The following is a 24,564-nucleotide window of genomic DNA, read 5'->3' on the forward strand; positions in this document are numbered from 1 at the left end:
GTGCTGAGAGGCAAAGAAGGCTCAGCCGTGTTCCTGCCTTGAGGACTTGAGCCAGAAACGGCATATGGGAGAGCCAGGGACAGCACACGGGAGAGCCGGGGAGGGCACACGGGAGAGCCGGGGAGGGCACACGGGAGAGCCGGGGACGGCACACGGGAGAGCCGGGGAGGGCACACGGGAGAGCCGGGGAGGGCACACGGGAGAGCCGGGGAGGGCACACGGGAGAGCCGGGGAGGGAACACGGGAGAGCCGGGGAGAGCACACGGGAGAGCCGGGGCGGCACACGGGAGAGCAGATGAAGGTAATACATGCAGTGGCCCAGCTCGGGGGTGTGGATTCTGTGTGAAGATTTCCCTAGAGGAGGGGCTGCAGCCCCCGGAATCTGAAGCCAGAGTTTGTATGAACAGCAGCAATTCCCAAGCCCACGTCTCCCAGGCCACGGTTTGAGAAATGGAATCTTCCCCCTATGTTAGGATAGTGCTTCATTCCAAAAAAAAAACCCTTCCTAGGGCCAATTCCCAAGTCTAAGTTATGAGAACAGAAAGTAAAGTCGAGTCCCTTCAACAGTTCTTGGAAAATGCACCGGGAATGCTCAGTGTTTCTGGAGCCAAAGCCTTAATTCAAACAAGCAAGCAAACAAACAAGCCTGACGTTGAACATAAAACACATCAATGAAAACAAAGAAAATAATGCAGAGAGGCACATGACTCAGCTCGCAATCAGCGGCCCCGCGAGGGAGGCAGCCTGTGCACTGGGCACGCCGAAGCCCCTCCGGCGGCGGCTCTTTGTTCCCCGCGTCACCTCACTGCACGCCCCGTCACCAGCGTCGTGCTCCAGCAGCGGCGCTCCTCCAGCCAAAGAGGGAGGCACTGACGAAACCCGTGCAGTCAAATTCTCGCGGCCTGTGGTGGGTTGAATCATGTACTCCTAAAAGATATGTTCATTGGGAGGCCAAGGCAGGAGGATCACTTGAGCCCAGGAGTTCAAGACCAGCCTGGGAAACATAGCGAGACCCCCTTCTCTACCAAAATAAATAAATAATAAATAAATAAATAAATAAATAAATAAGCAAGCTGGGTGTGGTGGCTCGTGCCTGAGGGTGTAGAGAGCACCACTGCACTCTACACTAAAAAAAAAAAAAAAAAAAGGTATAATCAAGGCCTAACCCCCAGTACCTGTGGGTGTGACCTTATTTGGAAATAGGGCCATTACAAGATGTGCTCAGGTGAAGATGAGGTGATACTAGGTTAGGGTGGGCCCTGCCTCAATGACTGGTGTCCTTATTTGAAGGTCACGTGAAGACACAGACCCAGGAGGGTTCTGAGAACACCGGGAGACAATGGAGGCAGAGGCTGGAGCGACACATCTGCGAGCCAGGGGACACCAGGGCTGGCCTGCAGCAGCAGAGGCCGGGAGAGGCAGGAATTACCCTCCCCCAGCGACTCCAGCAGGGACCTGGCCCTCCAGGGGCTTTGGTTTTAGACTTCCAGCCTCCAGAACCGTGAGACAGTAAATTTCTATCATTTTAAGCCATCCAGTTTGTGGCAATTTGTTATGGCCGCCGTGGGAAATTGATACATAGCCCGACTGGGCTGGTTTGGTGGATTTTAACATGCTAAAAGTTTGTATTTAGGGCCAGGCATGGTGGCTCATGCCTGTAATCCCAGCACTTTGGGAGGCCGAGGCGGGCAGATCACGAGGTCAAGAGGTCGAGACCATCCTGGCCAACATGGTGAAACCCCGTCTCTACTAAAAATACAAAAATTAGCTGGGCGTAGTGGCACACACCTGTAGTCCCAGCTACTCGGGAGGCTGAGGCAGGAGAATCGCTTGAACCCAGGAGGCAGAGGTTGCAGAGAGCCAAGATGGTGCCACTGCACCCCAGCCTGGCGACAGAGTGAGATTCCATCTCAAAAAAAAAAAAAGTTTGTATCTAACATTAAAAAACAGCTTTATTGAGATATAAATCTTGTGCATGCAATTCACACATTTAAAATGTATAATTAGGCCTGGCATGGTGGCTCACGCCTGTAATCTCAGCATTTTGGGAGGCTGAGGCAGGCAGATCACATGAGGTCAGGAGTTTGAGACCAGCCTGGTCAACATGGCAAAACCCAGCTCTACTAAAAATACAAAAATTAGGTGGGTGTGGTGGCAGGTGCCTGTAATACCAGCTACTAGGGAGGCTGAGGCAGGAGAATTGCTTGAACCTGGGAGGTGGAGGCTGCAGTGAGCTGAGATTGCGCCACTGCACTCAACCTGGGCAACAGAGTGAGACTCCATCTCAAAAAAAAGAAAAAAGAAAAGTGTACCATTAGATGGTTTTTAATATGTGGCCCTTCATGTCTGGCATCCTTCAGGTAGCATCATGTTTCCAAGCTTCATCCACGTTGTAGTGTGTGTCATTCCTTTTTATGGTTTGATACTATTCCAGTGTATGAAGCTACCACATTTTATTGATCTGTCTGTCAACGGACATGTGGGTTGTTTCCATATTTTGACTATTATGAGTAATGTTGCTGTTAACATTCATGTTTACATTTTATTTAATTTTTTTTTGAGACAGAGCCTTGCTCTGTTGCCCAGGCTAAAGTGCAGTGGCATGATCTTGGCTCAGTACAACCTCCGCCTCCCAGGTTCAAGCAATTTTCCTGCCTCAGCCTCCTGAGTAGCTGGGATTATAGGCACCCGCCACTGTGCCTGGCAAATTTTTGTATTTTTAGTAGAGAGGGGGTTTCACCATGTTGATCAGGCTGGTCTTGAACTCCTGACCTCGTGATCCACCCGTCTTGCCCTCCCAAAGTGCTGGGATTACAGGCGTGAGTCACCGCGCCTGGCCATGTTTAAATTTTTGTGTGGACATAGGTTTTGCGTTTCTCTGGGTGTGTGCTTAGGAGCTGACATGCTGAGTCATGGTATCTCTATGTTTAATCATTTGAGGAACTGTCAGACTGTTCTCCAAAGCAGCAACACCAGTTTACATTCCCACCAGCAAGGCGTGAGGGTTCTGATTTCTTCACATCCTCACCAATACTTCCTGTTATCTGACTTTTTCGACTCTAGCCATCCTAGTGGGTAGGAAGTGGAAAGTGGTATCTCATTGTGGTTTTGATTTGCATTTCCCTGATGACTAGTGAAGTGGAGCATCTTTGTATGTGCTTATTGGCCATATGAATATCTTTCTTGGAGAAATGTCTATTCAGATTCATTGGCCATTTAAAAAGTTGGATTATTTGTCTCTTTTATTATTGAGTTGTAAGAATTTCTTATGTATTCCAGAAATGAGTCCCTTTTCAGATACAAGATTTGAAAATATTTTATTTCATTCTTTGGGCTGTCTTTTCACTTTCTTAATGATATCCCTTGAAGCATAAAGGTTTTTAATTTTTTTGAAATATTGTGTTTCAGTATTTTCTTTTTTTGCTTTTGCAATTGGTGTCATATCAAAGAATTCTTTGTCAAATCTAAGGTCATGAAGATTCCCCCTGTTTTCTTCTAAGATGTTATAGCTTTAACTTTTACATTTATGTCTTTCATCCATTTTGAGTTAATTTTTTTATATGGTGTGAGGTAAGGGTTCAGTTTTATTTTTTTCTCTTGTTTTATAGGTGGCTCCACTGGAATCCAGTTGTCCCAGCATCATTTGTTGAAAGACTATTCTTTCCCCACTGAGAAGTCTTGACACCCTTGTTGGAAATCAGTTGACCATAGATGGGACAGTTTATTTCTAGACTTTCAGTTCTAATCCATAATGAAGCCAGTACCACACTATTTTGATTACTGTTGCTTTTTAGTAAGTTTTGAAATCAGGAAGTGTGGGTCTTTCAACTCTGTTCTCCTTTTCCAAGATTGTTTTGGCTATTCTGGGTTTCCTGCAATTCCATATGACCTTCAGAATCAGCTTTTTGATTTCTACAAAGACATCAGTTGGGATTCGGAAAGGAATTGTGTTGAATTGGTAGATCATTTTAGGGATCACTGCCGTTGTAACAATGTCAAGTCTTTCAATCCATGAACATGGGATGTCTTTCAATTTATTTAAAACTTCTTTAAAGTTTTTCAACAATGTTTTGTAGGGTTCCAAGTATAAGTTTTACATTTGTTTTGTCATATGTATTCCCAAGTATTTTATTCATTTTGATGCCATTGCAAATGGAATTATTTTCTTTTTATTTTATTTTATTATTATTATACTTTAAGTTTTAGGGTACATGTGCACAATGTGCAGGTTAGTTACATATGTATACATGTGCCATGCTGGTGTGCTGCACCCATTAACTCGTCATTTAGCATTAGGTATATCTCCTAACACTATCCCTCCCGGCTCCCCCCACCCCACAACAGTCCCCAGAGTGTGATGTTCCCCTTCCTGTGTCCATGTGTTCTCATTGTTCAATTCCCACCTATGAGTGAGAATATGCGGTGTTTGGTTTTTTGTTCTTGCGATAGTTTACTAGGAATTATTTTCTTAATTTAGTTTTTGGATCACTCATTGCAAGTATATAGCAATAAAATTGGTTTTTACAATATCCATCTTGTATTATGCTATATTTCCAAACTCATTTGCTAGTTCTAATAGTTTTTAAGTGAATTCCTTAGGATTTTCTGTATATAGGACCATGTTATTTGCAAACATAGATAGTTTTACGTCTTCCTTTTCAAACCGAATGCCTTTTCTTTTTCTTGCCTAATTGCCCCGGAAACTCCAATACATTGGTGAACAGCAAGGTGAGAGTGGACATATCTGTCTTTTTTTGTGACCTTTGTGGGGAAGTATTCAGTATTTCACCATGAAGTATAATTTTAGCTGTGGGTTTTCCATAGATGCCCTTTCTCTGGTTGAGAACTTCCTATTAGTAGTTTGTTGAGCATTTCTATCATGGAATGAGGTTAGGATTTTGTCAGATGCTTTTTTTCTGCATGTATTGAGATGATCATGTGATTTTTGTTCTGTTGATATGAGGTATTACCTTAATTGATTTTAAAATGCTCAACCAATCTTGTATTCCTAAGATAAATCCCACTTGGTCATAGAATGTAATTCTTATTATAGCTGCTAAATTCAATCTGCTAGTATTTTGTTGAGGATTTTTGCATCCATATTAATAAGAGATATTGCTTTGTAGTTTTGTTTTCTTGTGACATCTTTGTCTTGTTTTGGAATTGTATAATACTGGTCTTATTAAATGCTGCACATTCTTTACAAAAAACAAACCCCCAAGCTGTCATTTAATACATTTTTCCAGGGATCAACATAAAATTTGATACTCTTGCAGTTACTAAAATCTCCAGTCCAGAGGAACAGGGGCAGCAGATAGCTGGGAGGTGCCCTTTAAGTGTGTTAAGACAACGATCAGCTGCCCTCAGCACTGATGTCAGCATTGGCATCTCGGGTAGAACCAGTCAGACAGGCAGACACCCGGTGTGGGAGCTTGGGTTCTGCCTGGCACTGAGAGTTCCTAAAGGCTTGTCTTGGGCACACAGTGTGAGGTGCTGTCTTCTCGCTGGTGCTGAAATTCACGTTTCTGCTGTGTCTTTCCTGTGAGGGCCAGTCCCAGACATGCTTCTGGACATTACCATATCCCTTCTAGGAAGATGCTGAACATCTCCAGGGACAAATTGGAGCCTGAAGCCTCAGAGCTACTGATGATGAAGGAAAGAGGCAAACATTCAGGAGCCACAGTGCAAGCTGAGGACAAGAGAAAGGCAAGTGGGGCCAGGCCACACACACCTTGTTCCCACCTTTGGGCTTTTTATCTTCTTCTTCTTCCGTTTGTGCCGTCTGTAAACCAGGGAGGAGAACGTCTCCTAGAGGGAGGGAGGAGGCAGACACCACAGACAGAAGTGGTCTCCATTTCCTCCTCGAGGGCCATTCCTGCGGGAAGCAGTCAAAGCTGGGGGTGCCAACGACAGCCACTTAGTGGGAAAGAGCCCAGGGAAGCTTTCTGCCTCTGAAAAAAAAAATAGAATTATAGACTGTTCTAGAACAAGGCATTTATGCCAGAATTCCATCTCAGTGACATTGTCATTCACAGAGTTGCTTGAGCCCAAATATTAAGAATCATCCTTGACTCCTCTCCTTTCTTCCCTCTCCCACATCCAAACCACACCTTTGCTTGCCAAATCAGCAGTAGCTGCTGCCTGCTTCATGCCCAGAGCTGCTCAGAGCATGATCTCTTTTCAGCATCTTGACTACTCCCTCCCCAGCCCAGGCCCCCTATGCTCCAGGAACTGTCTCTCATCCACATCTCAGACCTCACACTCGCGGGCTCCTTGACTGGGAAGGTGTTCCTGTCTCCACAGCCAGTCCTCCCCGAATCCCTCCATCTCAGAGAGGCCTTCTCTGCCCCCTGCACCCCTGTATCATCCTGCTTCATTTTTCTCCATTGCCTTTTCACAATGTGACCTTATACATGACCCGTTTTCTCTCCTCTATACTATGATGGGATGTGGGTAGGAATTTTGTTCATCCTGATCATAACTGGCGTATCCCCATCATTTATAAAAGAGTCTTGCATATTCCAATAGGCAATTGCTGAATGAATGGATTAATAATACTAGAAGGAAAAACTGTTGACAAGGGCACTGTCTTAGTCCATTTGCGTTGCTATGAAGGAACACCTGAGGCTGGGAAACTTACACAGAAAAGAGGTTTATGTGGCTCATGGTTCTGCAGACTGTACAGGAAGCATGGTGCCAGCACTGGCTTCTGATGAGGGCCTTGGGAAGCTTCACTCTTGGCAGAAGGTGAAGGGGAGCCTGCGTGTGCAGAGTTCTCATGGTGAGAGGGAAGCAAGAGTCAGGGAGGCACCAGGTTTCTTTAATAAACAGGTTTCACAGGGACGACTAGAGTGAGACTCACTGACTCGTTACCACGAGGGCCAGGCCAGCACCGAGCCATGCATGAGGTATCTGTCCCCATGACCCAAACACCTCCCACCAGGCCCCACCTCCAGCACTGGGATTCAGTTTCAACACGAGGCTTGGAGGGCCAAATACCCAGACCACAGCAGCCACCTGAGCCTGTCCACTCATGCAGCTCCCGCACGGCTGGCATGTTGGGGCATGGCCTTGCCTAAGTGGTCCTGTCTGCCTCCCACCTCCGAAGAGCGGCCTGATAAGGCCTGGGGGCTGTGGCACTGAATCCCTAGCCCATCACTCTTGGGGAGTTTCTTTAAGAGGCATCACTGAGAAGGGCATTTGCCTAGGCCAAATGGCTTCACTCGGCCCTCTCCTATGAAACAGACAATCGGAGCTCCAGAGCTCCAGAGCTGGGAGGGGCTTTGGCCACATCCACCTCTTCATTTTAATGCTGACCAATCTGAGTCCCGGGGCTGGAAACTGACCTGCCAGGACAGACTGCTGGTGGGAGGTAGAGCATGCCCCCTCAGCATCCCCTGGTGGGTTGGATGGATTTTCTTAAATACTATGGAGAAACTGAAAGTCTAGGATGGAATATCTCCTTTGGAAAATGTTATTGGGGTTAGCATTGGGGAGATGATAAGATGAGATAAATACAACTTGCATTTTCAGCAGCTCTTTTCCAAAGAATGAGTAAAAGGTTTCTTGACCACCATCCTCCTCTGATCATACAGAAAACAGTGGGTGGCTTTTGCTCATATCAAAACCACCTGTGATTGATGAGCAAAATTCGGGCTTCCTCAGAAAGTCAAGGGTGAAGTTGGATGTAGAAACTCACGACCTTCATGGAACTGAATCCATTCCCAGCACTTAGAGTTGAATAAATAGTTGTTGATTGAGTGGATAAATTTATAATTTTAAGCTTCTGGCTCTCTTAGCTAATCCAGGAGTCCGGGGAAATCAGTCTCTGTGAAGTTTTGATCAAAGAGGCCTTAGATCCCTCCGGAACAAGGATGGATAGAAATAATAATAATTTTAAAGGTGGGCCACCAGTGCCGGGGAAGGACGGGAAGTGCTGTTTCCCACATTCAGCAGGCACCCGACCACTGCCTGCTACGGGCATGGCTGCGGGAGGCCAAGTGGGACGAGAAGCGAATCCCTGCCGTAAAACTGTTCCCAGCCGAGTGGAGGAGAGAGGGTGTGAACACACTCTCAGGACGCTGTGCTGTGACTGGGGTTTTAGTGCAGCAGATTGAGAAAGGGAAAAAACGTGGCAGGTGGGAAACCCCCTGGGTAAGTCCAAGAATCTCCAGCCACACAAGCGTAGCCTCTTACATTTATGTATTTATGTATTTATTTATTTATCTGAGATGGAGTCTTGCTCTGTTGCCCAGGCTGGAGTGCAGTGGCGTGATCTCAGTTCAATGCAACCTCCGCCTCCCGGGTTCAAGCGATTCTCCTGCCTCAGCTTCCCAAGTAGCTGGGATTACAGGTGCACCACCATGCCCAGCTGATTCTGTGTTTTTAGTAGAGACAGGGTTTCACTATGTTGGTCAGGCTGGTCTCCAACTCCTGACCTCAAGTGATCCACCTGCCTTGGCCTCCCAAAGTGCTGGGATTACAGGCGTGAGCCATCGTGCCTGGCCAACCCCTTACATTTATATCACACTTTTTCTAGGGGCTTCCTTGCACGTTATTTCTAATGCAATAGACAGATGTGTTTGTCCTTCTCACAGTGTAGTTCACTACGTTTTAATGAACTCTTCTTCTTGTATTAAGGCATGGCACGTGCACACCAGAGGGGCTTCCAACAGGGGAAGGGGGAAGGGGGCGTCTCCTTCCCAGCCCAGGCGTTCATACATCTTCCTAGGACTCAGCCACTGTCACTGGGAACTTGTTTGTCCTTCCCAAAGCCAAGCATGTGCACTGAGGCAGAACTGTGAACTTACAGGATGGGTGAAATAGACAACACACGCGATCGACAACCCTCCCCGCTGTATGAGTGACGGCAGTGCTTATTGGCAGTGAAAGAATTCAGCCCTTGTCGTCTTTAACCGTATGAAAGTTGAGGAACAGACGTCTCCAGGCCCATTACTACAGGTTCAGGGCAGCCCCAGTCATGGTGAAAAGGTTTAAGGCCTAGGGCATATTGGTCCGTAGCAGGGCAGTTGGGGCAATACCGCGATGCTTGGGGTGGGCCGGGGGCTGCCAAGAGGAGCACCCCCGGCCGTCCAGCCCGCTGGGCACTAGCTCAGGCTCTTGTTTGCCAAGACGTTTCAGTCCCACCACGTTTGATTTATTTCTGTCCCAGTCTCTGTTTAAATCCATTTAACAGCTCCCAGTGGCCTCCAGGAAAAAACTCCAAATCCTTGGCCCGACATCCAAACCCGTCTACACCGGGGTTCAGGCTCCACTTCGGAGCTTGTGGCCCCTGCCCAGCCCGGGGGCAGGTTTGTGAAGCCAAGCTCCTGCCCCTCCCTGCCCACCCTGGAGAGCCCCGAGTTCTCTCCTCCTCCCCGCTCACGGGTGCTGCCCGAGACCCAGCCCTCCCTCTGCTCTCCCTGCACCTTCCCACCAGCGTGGACGTCCCCTTTTCTGGATTCCTGTAGCTTCAGCAATGCGTTTTCTGCCTTCATTTCTAGGACACTTTGGGGTGACTTGCTGTCTGACCTCTGTTTCTGAAGGTTGGGGGGCTGTTTATTTTGCATTTCTGAATATGGAGTAGAGAATTTTGTTCCATGAAGGTATTTACATAATTATTTATTAAAAGAAAAAACCCCTCAGCTGTTTGAAATTTTTTTCTCCCAGAAGGAGCTCTGTTTTAATGGGAATGGGTCTGAAAGTGGATTTAGTTTACAGATGCTCACAGGAGGATGGTGACAGGGAGGCTGTGTCCAACTGTCACCGCAGTGCGGAGGCATGTTTGGCACCTCGGATCACCTCTAGCTGGGGCTGTCCCGCAGCCGCCAGGCCCACACCCTAAAGGATGTGCGCTCTGTGGTTTGAAGGAGATTAAAGGAAACATGGAGAAACCCCCTGCAGACAGAGGCCGGGCCCTGCTGCCACATCTAGACCTTCCTGACGGATGAGGGGTGCCAGCCATATTCTTTTTGCTTTGATGTAGGGGGTATGTGTGTATTTTGGGGGCTGGGGAGGGAGGACTGAGGCGGACCCACTCTTGGCCAGGCCTGAAACCCTCCCATTGGCACCCCTCTTTGAGCTCCGGCTCACCGCATGCGGCCTGGTGCCCATCACCCAGGCTGTGCCAGGGCTGGGGGTGGCACCCGTAAGAGGCGACACTGTCTGTCTCTGGGCCTTGCCACCCACCCCTCCAGCCTGGCATTTTGTGAATGAAAGCAGGGCTTGGTTGGGGCAGGTGTGCCAGCGATGGAGGTGCTGTGTCCGCATGGGGCCTCATAGCTCAGGGCTTATTAGGAGCATCGATCATCTGCGGTGCCATTTCCAAACTCCCTCTCCCTCACTCAACTCGCTAAACCTCATTCTTTCCCACACCCAGGTGCTCGGGTGAGAAATGGAGTGTTAATGAGTGTTGGCTTGCTGGCCACGGGCTGGGAGGGGGTTTCCCCCTCACTCCTGACCCCGCATGACCCTTGCCCCCTGACCCCGCACAACCCTCATCCACTCAACAAGCTGCTGCATCTCCCTTTGACCCTGACCCGGTTTTTGGTGGCCCGAGAGTGGACCACGTCCATCCTCCCACCCTCAGAGTCCTGGCTTCTGGGGGGCGTAAAAGCCAGAGGAGCCGAGGCCCCGGCCCACGCTCGGAAACACTCTCAGCCTGGAGACATCGGCTGCAGCTCCCCGCACGCCCTGTCCCCTCCCGCTCTGCATTAATCTTGCACTGACACCCTCTTTATGCTGTTGGAAAAATCGAAATGCCAGGAGGCGGGAGGCAGGGAGAATCCCTCATCAGCAACGTTTATGGTATTGACTTGCATCTCATTGACTGTGTCAACAAGCGCTTGGCGTCTACATGTGGGAACAGCCTATAAAACTAGGAAAGCTAAGCGGCCATTGAAAACCCATCACTTCGGATCCACCAGCCACATAACCCTGGACAGGAAGATGAAAAGTACCTTCTTCCCAGCGCTCAGCCTCCAGCTCTGGGCCTGGTGAAGACGGGCACAAAACAGCAGCAGTGAAACACAAAGTGAATCGAATTAGTCACTACTCAGGCCTGGGGCCTCAGCTGGAAATGACCTTCAGAATTCAACGGAGGAGGCCCTTCGTGGGAGACAAAGAAGGATGGGGCGTCATTGTGGGAGCTTTAACGCTGCACAAAGGACGATCAGGAGGTGGCAATGCATGTGTGACCTGCGCCGGGCAGGGAGGGAGGCTCTCAAGAGGCCTCTGCGCAGGGCGGTGCCCTGTGTGCCTCTGGAAATGAGGCAGAATTTGTGGTGACATCATGCCCAGTCTTCCTGCCAACAAAAGAGTGTATCAGGTTGGAAGTGAGTTTTCCATTTCATAGGAGAGTGGGGGTATGGCAGGAGTCCCTCGGAAATAGTGGAGTTTTGCTCCTGCACAAAAATAAGACCCTGTTCTGAGGACGTGAGTGAGCCGAGCATGTCTGTGCTTCCGTCTGGAGGAGCCGGGAGCCCTGGTTGGCCCAGGTGTCTCGCAGCCTCGTGGCTGGCTCTGTCCACAGGGTCCACGAGCTGGAGGGGCACGGATAAAAATGCTTTTCCCACGACAGAGCGCGTGTGGTGGGCTGACTCCGGTTTATCTGTGAGCACAGAGGTGTGGCCTGCTCACCCCACAGGAGGTGACCCCGCAGAAGGAACACTTCTGCCCTGATCTGCTGTTTGCAGAGGACGAGGGCTGTCATCCTGCTCCTCTGAGGCTGAGGCCTCAGCCAGCAAGGCGGCGGGGTCAAGCGGGGTGTCTGAGCCAGCCACACAGTGCTCACTGGAAGCTTTGGTGCTTTGCTGACCCTGTGACCTGAACAGCCACCCACCTCTCCGAGCCCCAGCATCCTCGTCTGTAAAGTGGGGTGACAGTAGCTGCCTGACATGACTGACAGACTCGTTTGTTAAGCACTGTCACGTGTGGGAGGCGACTTCCTTCTGGGTTGGGGGGGCTTCTCTTATCCCTGGGCACTGTTGGGTCCCTAGGAGAAGCACAGGTGAGCAGAGGAGGGCTCCCCTGGGCTGGTGCGGCCAGCAGTTCTGCAGGGACCTCGCACTGGCTCCTTAATGTGGTTCGCGTGGCCTCCAGATTTACGGCTGAATTCTCTCTTCTGAGCATGTCACTGGATGACCAGCACTCTACCAGGGGAACTGCTGTTCTGGGAAAGGTGCCCGCTGGCCAGCGGAGTCTCCTCACACATCCATGGTGTGTGGGGCTCTGATGGGTTCTGGGTGAGCATTCCCCCCTTCTCCTGGATGCCACCTACGTGTCCGCTTGGGAGAATTAGGTGGGCTTTTTGGGCCACGGCTTCCTCATCCCTGTCTGTGCACACATCTGTGTGTGTGTGTGTGTGTGTGTGTGTGCCCGTGCACGTGTGTGTGCCTCGTGTGCATCTGTGGGAGTGCAAATGTGCACGTGTGTGTGTGCATGCATCGGAGAGGCGGAATGTGTGTGGGGCTGGAAACTGATAATCTTTAAAAGATCTCCCAGACTTAAAATTCTTTTATTATGTAACATTTATTTTTATTTATTTATTTTGAGACACGGTTTCACTCACGTCACCCAGGCTGGAGTGCGGTGGCACGCGCTCGGCTCACTGCAACTGCTGCCTACTGGGCTCAAGCGATTCTCCAGCCTCAGCCTCCTGAGTAGCTGGAATTATAGGCGCACGCCACCACACCTGGGTAATTTTTGTATTTTTTTTTGTAGAGATGGCTTTTCACCATGTTGGCCAGGCTGGTCTTTAACTCCTGGGCTCAAGTGATTCACCCACCTAGCCTCCCAAAGTGTTGGGATTACAGGCGTGAGCCACCGCGCCCGGCCTATTATTATGTTAATTTAAAATAAGCAAATACTTGAGTGCCTCTGTACCAGGCGCTGTTCTAGGAGCCAGGAGCTGTGCCCTTCTCCACCCGCTCCCACACTTTCTCCTTCTCTTAACTCCACCATTGCCTCCTCCCTCCCCTTGTTCTCCCCGCCAGCCCCAGGGACATGAAGCACTTGGATTGTCGGGAGCTGCCCGCCTTCAGCCACCGGCCAGTGGCCAGCACCCCGGGTTCGGCCCTCTGCCAGTGCGGGCTCAAAGGCCCCACGCCCACGCAGCCAATCCTCACATGACGGTGACCAGAGGCCACTTGAGCTCAGGCACCTCGGCTGGCACGTACTCCACCCTCCAGGGCTCGGGGCATGACGGGCACCTCGGCTGGCACGTACTCCACCCTCCAGGGCTCGGGGCATGACGGGCACCTCGGCTGGCACGTACTCCACCCTCCGGGGCTCGGGGCATGACGGGCACCTCGGCTGGCACGTACTCCACCCTCCGGGGCTCGGGGCATGACGGGCACCTCGGCTGGCACGTACTCCACCCTCCGGGGCTCGGGGCATGACGGGCACCTCGGCTGGCACGTACTCCCTCCGGGGCTCGGGGCATGACGGGCACCTCGGCTGGCACGTACTCCACCCTCCGGGGCTCGGGGCATGACGGGCACCTCGGCTGGCACGTACTCCACCCTCCGGGGCTCGGGGCATGACGGGCACCTCGGCTGGCACGCACTCCACCCTCCGGGGCTCGGGGCATGACGGGCACCTCGGCTGGCACGTACTCCACCCTCCGGGGCTCGGGGCCTGAGGAGCAGAAGGTGGCCCTGGGCAGATGCTCTGCGTGCGGGAGGCTGCGCTTTCAGTCATTATTTGGATTTCGTTTTCCACATGAAAATATTTAGAGATCCAGCTCTTGGAAGCCAAGGAGAAACTGGCTTTTAAGGTAAAGGAAGGCAAGTTTGCCGAGGTGATGGGAAGACACCTTGCAACTGCGAAACCTCCAAATTTACCGGTAGAACCTGGCACACAGCTTTTGCCGTCGTTTGGAGAATTACTGCGTGCACTGCCGTTCGCTCAGAGCCATTGTGCACGTTTGTTTCTCTGATCACTAACAGCCTGCACGTTTCCAGCGTTTCCAGTTTCCAGCGTTGTATGGGGATTTCCACGTGTTTCAGTCGCTTATTAGCTTTTGTGGCTTCAGGGTGAGCCGTGGCGTCTGAGACACCCAGCCACATCGTTCCGCTGTGGGCGGGGCATTGAAGACAGGTCTGAAAACGTTCCAGCTCTTGCTGGAAGGGACGTCATTTCTGAACACGTGAGGGGTCTGAGTTTCTTTACGACAGCAGCTTCTATTGAGCGAAATGGTCAGAAAACCATTGCTCTAGTTAATATTTTAGATAGTTGCAAGTTACTCCATTTACCATATATACTTTACAACTTTCCAAAGAGTTAAAATACAGAAGGGGCCTTACTTCCAAATATGAAGTGTGTGGGTGCACCGGTTGTTTCAAATTCAGAACGTGTTTTCCACAATGACAACGTCATAAATGCCGTTGAGATTCCCAGGCCGGCTCCTAGAAACCCTTAATAGTAGAAAACCATAGGGGGAAACACCAGTAATTAGACAGAACAGAATACAATTGCTTTTTTAAAAGTTATTTTGATCCCTGGTGGTCAAATGAAAAACATGATCATGGGAGGCCATGGAAGGTGAGCCGTCGATATTCCGAAGGGAAGCCGGGATCCGTCCAAGGGCGTTCGAGATAAAAGGTGCTGTTTCATTAATATGTCTAGCTGCACTTCGAGATTTATGGCTTAACTTTGTTTTGTAAAAATTGAATATTAGCCTTATTCTTATGATTTTCAGAAGTAATCAGAGAAGTTTTTAATTTACAAGGAGGGGAAACAGGGAAACAGAGGAAGGGAGAGAGACAGGCATCTGCGGAGACTTCCCTGGAGAGCAGAGGCCAGAGGCAGAAGAGGGAGGGGGTGGAGTGGTTGCGGAGGACTTGCCCAGGAAACCCCTGTGAGAAGGAAGAGTTTTCTCAGCTGAGCATTGAGCCAGCTGGTGTGTCAGGGGCAGCTTAGTTCACCATGCTGGGTCCTCTCCTGAGCACAGGAAGACTGCACTGTCCCACCTTCTCTGGAGTCCGCTGGGGCCTCCTGTGTGACCTGTGTCCAGGCCTGGCCCTAAAACATCCCACCAGCCTCTCAGCCCTCTCTTCCCTCTGCAGCAGGAGCAAAGGCCACGTCGGGGACATGATACATCACAACATGCAGGCAGCATGGCCCTGAGTCACCACGTGGAGACAAGCCTCAAGAGGACTCCACTTCCCAGTGGACGTTGCACGAGCAAGCAGGAAACCTCTTCTGTGAGCCCCTGAGGTTCAGGGTTTTTTGTTTTTTTTTAGTACCATGGCTACTGTGACGTATCCTGACTAATGCCGACAGCACAGGGAGCCTTTGCCTGCCGGAGGAAGCGGTGAGGAAGAGGTGGTGCGTCGTGCACTTCCTGTTGCTGTTTTAGGACAGCTTGGGTGAGTCCAGCATTAAAAATCAGAATGGGAAAAAGGAGAGGAAACCCGGAAGGGTCTACATGGGAAAGCCAGGGTCTGCGGAAGACAGATTGTCTCTCCCAGGATGCCTGGTGTTTTTGGAGGGGCACGCAGCAGTTGGAGGTTTGCATTTCAGGATTTGCCTTACATTAAAATGCAATTTATCTGTTAATTCTATTTACTTATTTAACTCACATGGATTAACTGCCTATTCTGTGTACCAGACGTAGTTTGTTCCAGGGAAGTGCTGCTGAACCAGGTAAACCCAGCCCCCCATCTCCAGGAGCAGAGGCTGCAAGGACAGGAAGACAATGAGGCAATGGTGTGCTGGGGGAATCGTGCTAAAGTGAAAGCATCCTTCGATCATTTTTAAGTCATTCTAGGATCTTCAGGGCATCAAAGTTTTGCCTGTGAGCCTCAATTGGTCTAATACAAAAATACAGACTGTGGTTAATCATCTGAGCTTTGAGATCATGTGAGATTGTAATCCTGCCTTGGTTCTGCCACTTACTGCTGGTGAAGGAAAAATTAATCTTTCCAAACAGCTTGCAAGACAGAAATCATGCTTTCTACCTCCCAAAGCTGCTGTGGGCATGAAACAGCCCACGTGCATGAGGTGCCCAGCATAGCGCCTGGAAATCACACACAATCACAGAATCATGGGGCCAGAGGAGGCCCTTGAAGTTTTATCTGATTTACTCCTCCCATGAGATGCTTTAATTCTCCAACTTCTCCTCAATGGCACCTATAAAGAAATGGGTTCTCCCTCTGTTGTTCTCTCTCTCGCTCTCAAGCTCTTTTAGTACTTAGAGTTACGCCACTTCATTTGAAGTTTAACATGGTAAATCTTAGAGACCATCCAAGTCCAACACATTTATTTTATTTTTTTTTCTGAGACTGAGTTTTGCTCTTGTTGCCCAGGCTGGAGTGCAATGGCACGATCTCAGCTCACTGCAACCTCTGCCTCCCAGGTTCAAATGATTCTTTTGCCTCAGCCTCCTGAGTAGCTGGGATTACAGGCATGCGCCACCATGTCCGCCTAATTTTGTATTTTTAGTAGAGACGGGTTTTCTCCATGTTGGTCAGGCTGGTCTTGAACTCCTGACCTCAGGTCATCCGCCCTCCCTTGGCCTCCCAAAGTGCTGGGATTACAGGCGTGAACCACCACGCATGGTCCCAACACCCTTATTTTAATGCTGTTAATGTCACTGGATTTCATTTTTGGCCCAGCATCTGCTTTCTCTTGTGGAATGTGCCACGTGCAGTGGAGAAGAATGTGTATTTTCCAGGCGGTGGGTGCAGTGTTCATCATTTGGGTCAAGGTGATGGATGGTGTTGTTCAGATATTTGTCTTTACTGATATTTTTGTTGAGGGATGTTGAAGTCCCTAATTATGATTGTGGAATCATTTATTTCTCCCTTTAACTCTGGATGTTTGCATCATGTGTTCAGAAGCTGTTACAAGGTGGGTTCAACTCTACGACTGTCAGGTCTTTCTGAAGAGCCTTCCCTTCAGCATTATGAAGCGTCCCTCTTTATTTCTAATAATACATTTTGTCTAAATGTCTATTTTATCTGATATTCACAGAGCTTCTCTAGTATTCGTATACTTACTGTTTGCATGGTATTTTCTTTTCCTTTCATTTACTTTCAATCAATATGTCTTCATATTTAAAGTGAATCTCTAAGAACACTACAATCTAATTAGACAAAAAATAAAGCAAATCTTTTAGAGATAGTATATAGTTGAATCTTGCTTTCAAAAACTGTCTGACAATCTGTCTTCTAATTGGAGTGTTTATTCTATTCATATTCAATGTAGTTGTTCATATGGTTGGATTTAGGCCTACTTTTTGGGAGACAGGGGACAGAGTCTCACTCTGCCACCCAGGCTGAGTACAGTGGCATGATCATGGCTCACTGCAGGCTCAGCCTCCCAGGGTCAAGCAATCCTCCCATCTCAGCCTCCCAAGTAGCTAGACTACCAGCACGTGCCACCACACTCAGCTAAGCATCTTTTATTATTTGTTTTCTGTTTGTTTCCTCTGTTGTGGTTCTCTGTTCCTCCTATTCTGCCTTCATTTGAATTATGTTAATGTTTTTTAGAATTCCATTGTACTGGTTTTATTGACTTTTTAGCTATAAATACTCTCGGCATTTTTAAGTGGCGGCTAATGGAATTCCAGTGCACATCCTTAGAGTTTTCTTAGGGTTAATAGTGTAACATCTTATGTACATTTGTAAACCTTGCAGCAAAATAAGTCCATCTGCTTCCCCTTCCTCCGTTTTTTAATGCTATAGTTGCCATAGGTATTACATCCACATACTTTATAAGCCTCACAAGAAAATGTTTTACTTTTTGCTTTGAACAGTCACATGCTTTGAACAGTCTTAAATTAAAAGGAAAATTAGTCTTTTGTATTTATCCAGCTATTTACAATTTCAGATTTCTTCATTCTTTCCCAAAGGTGCAAGTTTCCATCTGGTATTATTTCTCTTTAGCCTCAAAAACCTCCTCTAGCATTTCTTGTAGTCCAGATCTGTTGGCAATGAATTATTATAGCCTTCTTTTATCTGAAAATGTTTTAATTTTACATTTATCTTGAAAAGACATTTTTTACTGGTTGTATAAGTTTGTGTGACTATTTTTTTTCTTTTAGCTTGTTTGGGTGGTTGTTCCACCATATTCTGGCTTCCATAGTTTCTGATGAGACGTCAGTAGTACCTGGAGTTGCTACTTCTCTCTATATAATGTGTCATTTTTCATTTGCTGTGTTCCAGATTTTTTTGGCTTGTTTTTCTTTGTATTTATTGATCTTGAGGCTTATGGAGCTTCTTAAAGTTGTAAAATTATGTCTTTCACCAAATTTGGGCATTTTTGGACAATTACATCTTCAAATATTTTTTGCCCCCTTCTCTCCTCTTTTTATGGGACTCCAGTTCCATGGATGTTTAACATTTGATGTGGTCTTTCAAGTTCCTGAGGTTCTTGTTAGTTATCCATTGCTGCATAACAAATTACCCCCCAAACAGTTGGGGGTTAAACAATAATCATAATTTATTACCTGTCTGTGGTTTCTGTGGGCCAGAATCCACACAGGGCACTGTGAGGACAGACTGTCTCTCCTGGGATGCCTGGCATTTCAGCTGGAATACTGAAGCCTGAAGGTTGGAGTCATCTGAAGGTGCTCTCACCCACACATCTGGCAAGTGGAGGGCTGAGGGCCCAGTGTGGCTATTGGCCAAACACCCACGTGTGGGCTCTCCGTGTGGCCAGGACTGCCTCACAACACAGTGGCTGGGTTTGAAGGGCAAGCACGGGGGTTGGAGGCAGAAGTCATGTTGCCTGTGGCGACCTGGCCTGGGAGTACCACAGTGTCACTTCCCCTGTCTCCTTTTGGTTGGGAAAGTTTCAGGGGTCTGACCAGCTAGAGTCCGCCCAGAGTCTGCCTAACTGGAGACTCTGGATTTTGCTCTACCCCTGTTTATTTGTTCATTTGTTTGTTTAACCTGATCGATCTCAAACTGCAAACTGTTTATTGGGTGGCAGCTCAAATCTCAGAAAAATTTGTAAATTCTCCACTGGTGTGCTTTGTGTCTTCCTTGTGCACGCATGTTTCAGGAGCTAGCCAGAGATCTGGGCAGAGTTCATGGCTCTCTCTCCCTTTCTCTCTCAAAATTCTCCTCCTTTTCCAGAGGCTGTGTTTTCCCTGAACTCTGGCATCCAGTCTTCAGGCAAGGACAACTTCTATTATGGTTTTAGCTGCCCCTACAGCACCAACTACAATACACCCTTAGGATAAATCCATAGAAATGAGAAACTTGTTCTGTGTTACCACCTAAGATCTACGCTTTAGCAAATTTCAAGTATAAAATACAGTATTATGAACTATAGTCACCATGGTGGACATGAGGTCTCCAGAATTTATTCCCCCTGCATAACTGGAACTTTGCACCCTTTGACCAACACTTCCTCAACTTTCCCACCCCAGCTCCTGGCTGCCACCATCCTACTCTCTGCTCCTATGAGTGGCACTATTTTAGATTCCACAGATAAGTGAGATATTGTGGTATTTGTCCTCTGTGATCAGCTTATTTCACTTAGCATGATGTCCTTCAGGTTCATCCATGTTGTTGCAAATGGCAGGATGTCCTTCTTTTGAAAGACTGAGTAAAATTCCACTGGGGACAGGTATACACCACATCCTCTTTACCTGTTTATCCGTCCATGGATATTAGGCTGTTTCCATATCCTGGCTATTGTGAATAATATGCCAGTGAACACGGGAGTGGAGGCATCTCTTTGAGATTTGGATTTCATTTTCTTTGGGTATATCCCCAGAAGTGGGATTGCTGGATCATATGGTGGCTATGTTTTTAATTTTTTGAGGCATCTCCATACTGTTTTCCATAATGGCTGTATCAATTTACATTCCCACTAACAGTTCTAAGGGTTCCCTCTTCTTGACACCCTCCATTCCTAATGGTTTTGTGTAAATGCGCAGGTCTCACCTCCACAGTTGGGTTGTAATCCCGAGAGCAGAGCTGCAGTCCTCATGCCTGCTGACCCTGCAGGGTGTGGTGTCTCTGTCCATCCAAGGACCAGCCCTGTTCATTGTCTAACACAGCAGCAGAAGCTGTGCACACTGACTTTCCCTACAAGAGCAGTGACCAGAGAAAGTTTAATTTATTCCACGCAGAAATATGGCAAGTATTTTTTTTTTAACTAATCAAACAGATTACTTATCAGATGGCATGGGTTAAAAATTACTCAGTCTAAAAATGTCTGGTGAACAAGCGCTTAATTTTAGCAAACAATTCTAAATTGAGTACTTATGAAAAGCAATTTTTTTGTTCCCCAAACCCAAAAGACACCCTCCCTCCTTTAGATAAAAAGGGAAATTGCTTATGTGGGTAATTATTTCTGGAGCTGACCACTTACTGGTGTGGAAAGTCATTACAGACACCCGCTGCTTGTTTCCTGGGGATGAGGCCAGCCCTGGTGGGCTGGGAGGAGGTTCTGCGGCCTTTCATCATCAGGGTCTGTGAGCACCGCAGGGACTGCCTGGGCGGGGGACAAGGCAGGTGCAGAGACCAGGACGCTATTAAGGAGCCCCAGGGGTCCTGATGGTGCATGGGCTGGTTTTAAATTATGAGATGTGTGTGTGTGTGTGTGTGTGTGTGTGTGTGACAGAGAGAGAGAGAGAGAGAGACATGGCTACAGAGAGAGGCAGAGAAGGGGAGCCATTAAATGCCACAGAAAGGCATGGCCACGCGAGAGCTGCTGTGTAGCCCAGCAGAGCCCTTGCTGCTGTTTCTAGAATGGCTGTTTCACAGGCAGCTTTGTGAGTCCTGCTCAGGGCCAGTGTAGACCTCAGGGGTCTGCCCTGGGAGGCCCTGATCACCACCTTCTAGGACCCATGTCCTCGGGCTCCTGCCCAGGCCCACGCCTCCTGCGTCCCATGTGCGCACTGCTCTGTCCCCCTGGGAAGGTGGGAAACCCAACGTGGTGGTGCCTGCCTGCCCAGTCTGGCACAGAGATGGAGCGAGCTAGAGCCTGGCCTGAGCTGCGTGCTGTCTGCAGGGGCTCCCGGATGCTACTCTGTTAAAGCTGGAGTTGGCTGGTCAGAGGGGCAACCTCCTGACACTCCCTCCAAGGCACGGCCTGCCCACAGGCTGCAGCTTCGACCAGTAGAGTGCGGCAGGAGGGACATATTGAGACTTCCAAGCCCAGAGCTGAGGGCACTGGCAGCTTTGCTTCCTTCTGTTGGGAATGGTCATGGGTACAGCCAGGTGTACGGTGCAGAGGATGCAAGCTCAGGCTGGGGGACACACAGGAGGAGGGAGAGAAAGAGAGAGAGGAGGAGGGAGAGAAAGAGAGAGAGGAGACAGGGAGAGCGAAGGGGAGAGGGAGAGAAGGGGAAAGGGAGAGAGGGGGAGAGAAGGAGAGAGAGGGGAAGAGGGAGAGAGGGGGAGAGAGGGAGAGAGACCGGGAGAAGGAGAGAGAGGGAGAGAGGGAGAGAGAGGGGAGAGGGAGAGAGAGGGGAGAGGGAGAGGGGGACAGGGAGAGAGGGGGGAGAGAAGGAGAGAGGAGGGAGAGGGAGAGAGGGGGGAGAGAAGGAGAAGGGGGGAGAGGGAGAGAGATGGGGAGAAGGAGAGAGGGGGGAGAGGGAGAGAGAGGGGAGAGGGAGAGAGAGGGGAGAGGGAGAGAGAGGGGAGAGGGAGAGAGAGGGGAGAGGGAGAGAGAGGGGACAGGGAGAGAGAGGGGACAGGGAGAGAGAGGGGACAGGGAGAGAGAGGGGAGAGGGAGAGAGAGGGGAGAGGGAAACAGAGGGGAAGAGAGAGAGTTGGGGGGGGAGAGTGATGGAGACGGAGAGTGGGGAGAGCAATGGAGATGGGGAGGGACTGCTCATGGTGATAGCATGATGTTTTCTTCCAGTCGAGGTTGGTGGAAAAGCAAGATAGTTTTGGGTTCCTCATGTTTCTTTTCACTATTTTTTACATTTGAATCAAAGATGTTTTCTTGGATATAAGTGGACGTTAAGCTGGTCTTTTTCCTATTTGTGAAACTGTGAAACAGCAAAGTTAGTATTCACCTTTTAACTTGCCCAGGTTGAAAAGTGCTCCCAAAACGGGACTGGGAAAGACAATGGTCTAAGTACAAGCAAACGATTTACAATTCTTAAAAGTTGTTTTGTTTGAATACACTTCACATCAGATGATTCTACAGAGATTGTAATTGTGATACGATCGAGTCTCTGTTTTTCTGCCTTTCAGTATTAAATTCATATTTTTAAGCAGTGTGTAGAGGGAAATTTATAGCACTAAATGCCCACAAGAGAAAGCAGGAAAGATCTAAAATTGACAACCTAACATCACAATTAAAAGAACTAGAGAAGCAAGAGCAAACACATTCAAAACCTAGCAGAAGGCAAGAAATAACTAAGATCAGAGCAGAACTGAAGAAGATAGAGACAAAAAAAAAAAACCCTTCAAAAATCAATGAATCCAGGAGCTGGTTTTTTGAAAAGATCAACAAGGTTGATAGACCGTTAGCAAGACTAATAAAGAAGAAAAGAGAGAAGAATCAAATAGACGTAATAAAAAATGATAAAGGGGATATCACCACCGATCTCACAGAAATACAAACTACCATCAGAGAATATTATAAACACCGCTACACAAATAAACTAGAAAATCTAGAAGAAATGGATAAATTCCTCAACACATACACTCTCCCAAGACTAAACCAGGAAGAAGCTGAATCTCTGAATAGACCAATAACAGGCAATAATTAATAGCTTACCAACCAAAAAAAGTCCAGGACCAGATGGATGCACAGCCGAATTCTACCAGAGGTACAAGGAGGAGCTGGTACCATTCCTTCTGAAACTATTCCAATCAATAGAAAAAGAGGGAATCCTCCCTAACTCATTTTATGAGGTCAGCATCATCCTAATACCAAAGCCTGGCAGAGACACAACAAAAAAGGAGAATTTTAGACCAATATCCCTGATGAACATCAATGCAAAAATCCTCAATAAAATACTGGCAAACCAAATCCAGCAGCACATCAAAAAGCTTATCCACCATGATCAAGTGGGCTTCATCCCTGGGATGCAAGGCTGGTTCAACATACACAAATCAATAAACGTAATCCAGCATATAAACAGAACCAAAGACAAAAACCATATGATTATCTCAATAGATGCAGAAAAGGTCTTTGACAAAATTCAACAGTCCTTCATGCTAAAAACTCTCAATAAATTAGATATTGATGGGACGTATCTCAAAATAATAAGAGCTATCTGTGACAAACCCACAGCCAATATCATTCTGAATGGGCAAAAACTGGAAGCATTCCCTTTGAAAACTGGCACAAGACAGGGATGCCCTCTCTCACCACTCCTATTCAACATAGTGTTGGAAGTTCTGGCCAGGGCAATCAGGCAGGAGAAGGAAATAAAGGGTATTCACTTAGGAAAAGAGGAAGTCAAATTGTCCGTTTGCAAATGACATGATTGTATATTTAGAAAACCCCATTGTCTCAGCCCAAAATCTCCTTAAGCTGATAAGCAACTTCAGAAAAGTCTCAGGATACAAAATCAATGTGCAAAAATCACAAGCATTCCTATACACCAATAACAGACAAACAGAGAGCCAAATCATGAGTGAACTCCCAGTCACAGTTGCTTCAAAGAGAATAAAATACCTAGGAATCCAACTTACAAGGGATGTGAAGGACCTCTTCAAGGAGAAGTACAAACCACTGCTCCACGAAATAAAAGAGGACACAAACAAATGGAAAAACATTCCATGCTCATGGATAGGAAGAATCAATATCATGAAAATGGCCATACTGCCCAAGGTAATTTATAGATTCAATGCCATCCCCATCAAGACCAATGACTTTCTTCACAGAATTGGAAAAAACTACTTTAAAGTTCATATGGAACCAAAAAAGAGCCCACATTGCCAAGTCAATCCTAAGCCAAAAGAAGAAAGCTGGAGGCATCACGCTACCTGACTTCAAATTATACTACAAGGCTACAGTAACCAAAACAGCATGGTACTGGTACCAAAACAGAGATATAGACCAACGGAACAGAACAGAGACCTCAGAAATAATGCCTCATATCTACAACTATGTGATCTTTGACAAACCTGACAAAAACAAGAAATGGGGAAAGGATTCCCTATTTAATAAATGGTGCTGGGAAAACTGGCTAGCTATATGTAGAAAGCTGAAACTGGATCCCTTCCTTACACCTTATATAAAAATTAATTCAAGATGGATTAAAGACTTAAATGTTAGACCTAAAGCCATAAAAACCCTAGAAGAAAACCTAGGCAACACCATTCAGGACATAGGCATGGGCAAGGACTTCATGTCTAAAACACCAAAAGCAATGGCAACAAAAGCCAAAATTGACAAATGGGATCTAATTAAACTAAAGAGCTTCTGCACAGCTAAAGAAACTACCATCAGTATGAACAGGTAACCTACAGAATGGGAGAAAATTTTTGCAATCTACTCATCTGACAAAGGGCTAATATCCAGAATCTACAAAGAACTCAAACAAATTTACAAGAATAAACAAACAACCCCATCAAAAAGTGGGTGAAGGACATGAACAGACACTTCTCAAAAGAAGACATTTATGCAGCCAAAAGACAC

At 47.8% G+C, this 24,564-nt stretch overlaps 2 long non-coding RNA genes across 4 annotated transcripts in view, besides 3 other annotated features; both read left to right on the top strand.

Annotated features, from left to right (window-relative positions):
* Positions 1-11,975, top strand: part of LOC101927914 (uncharacterized) — a 33,486-nt gene extending 21,511 nt beyond the window's left edge. Inside the window, exons 3-4 of the long non-coding RNA NR_110157.1 lie at positions 5,592-5,706; positions 10,589-11,975. This is a non-coding gene — a long non-coding RNA (uncharacterized LOC101927914). The remainder of the gene's footprint in view (positions 1-5,591; positions 5,707-10,588) is intronic.
* Positions 2,794-3,088: an enhancer, noted in NCBI's record as "tiled region #4962; HepG2 Activating non-DNase unmatched - State 10:DNaseD, and K562 Activating DNase matched - State 8:EnhW". NCBI's record gives its function as "activates a minimal TATA promoter and a strong SV40 promoter by Sharpr-MPRA in HepG2 and K562 cells {active_cell/tissue: HepG2 | K562}" and the evidence as "EXISTENCE:reporter gene assay evidence [ECO:0000049][PMID:27701403]".
* Positions 5,460-5,660: a silencer, noted in NCBI's record as "peak6872 fragment used in MPRA reporter construct". NCBI's record gives its function as "represses an SCP1 promoter by STARR-seq MPRAs in K562 erythroleukemia cells {active_cell/tissue: K562}" and the evidence as "EXISTENCE:reporter gene assay evidence [ECO:0000049][PMID:32103011]".
* Positions 8,073-8,222: an enhancer, noted in NCBI's record as "active region_26930". NCBI's record gives its function as "activates an Ori minimal core promoter by ATAC-STARR-seq in GM12878 lymphoblastoid cells {active_cell/tissue: GM12878}" and the evidence as "EXISTENCE:reporter gene assay evidence [ECO:0000049][PMID:35858748]".
* A 1,689-nt stretch (positions 11,976-13,664) lies between the features above and the next one.
* LOC105375610 (uncharacterized) lies at positions 13,665-16,165 on the top strand. 3 transcript variants are annotated; one of them, NR_187969.1, is made up of 3 exons: positions 13,665-13,774; positions 15,243-15,368; positions 15,611-16,165. It is a non-coding gene; the product is annotated as an uncharacterized LOC105375610 (long non-coding RNA). The 3 variants fall into 3 exon arrangements; NR_187970.1 differs by lacking the exon at positions 13,665-13,774 and adding an exon at positions 14,335-14,601 and having other exon boundaries at positions 15,066-15,368; NR_187971.1 differs by lacking the exon at positions 13,665-13,774 and adding an exon at positions 14,335-14,601.
* Positions 16,166-24,564: the final 8,399 nt, after the last annotated feature.

Source organism: Homo sapiens, chromosome 7 (genome assembly GCF_000001405.40).
Source record: "Homo sapiens chromosome 7, GRCh38.p14 Primary Assembly".
Taxonomy (NCBI): domain Eukaryota; kingdom Metazoa; phylum Chordata; class Mammalia; order Primates; family Hominidae; genus Homo; species Homo sapiens.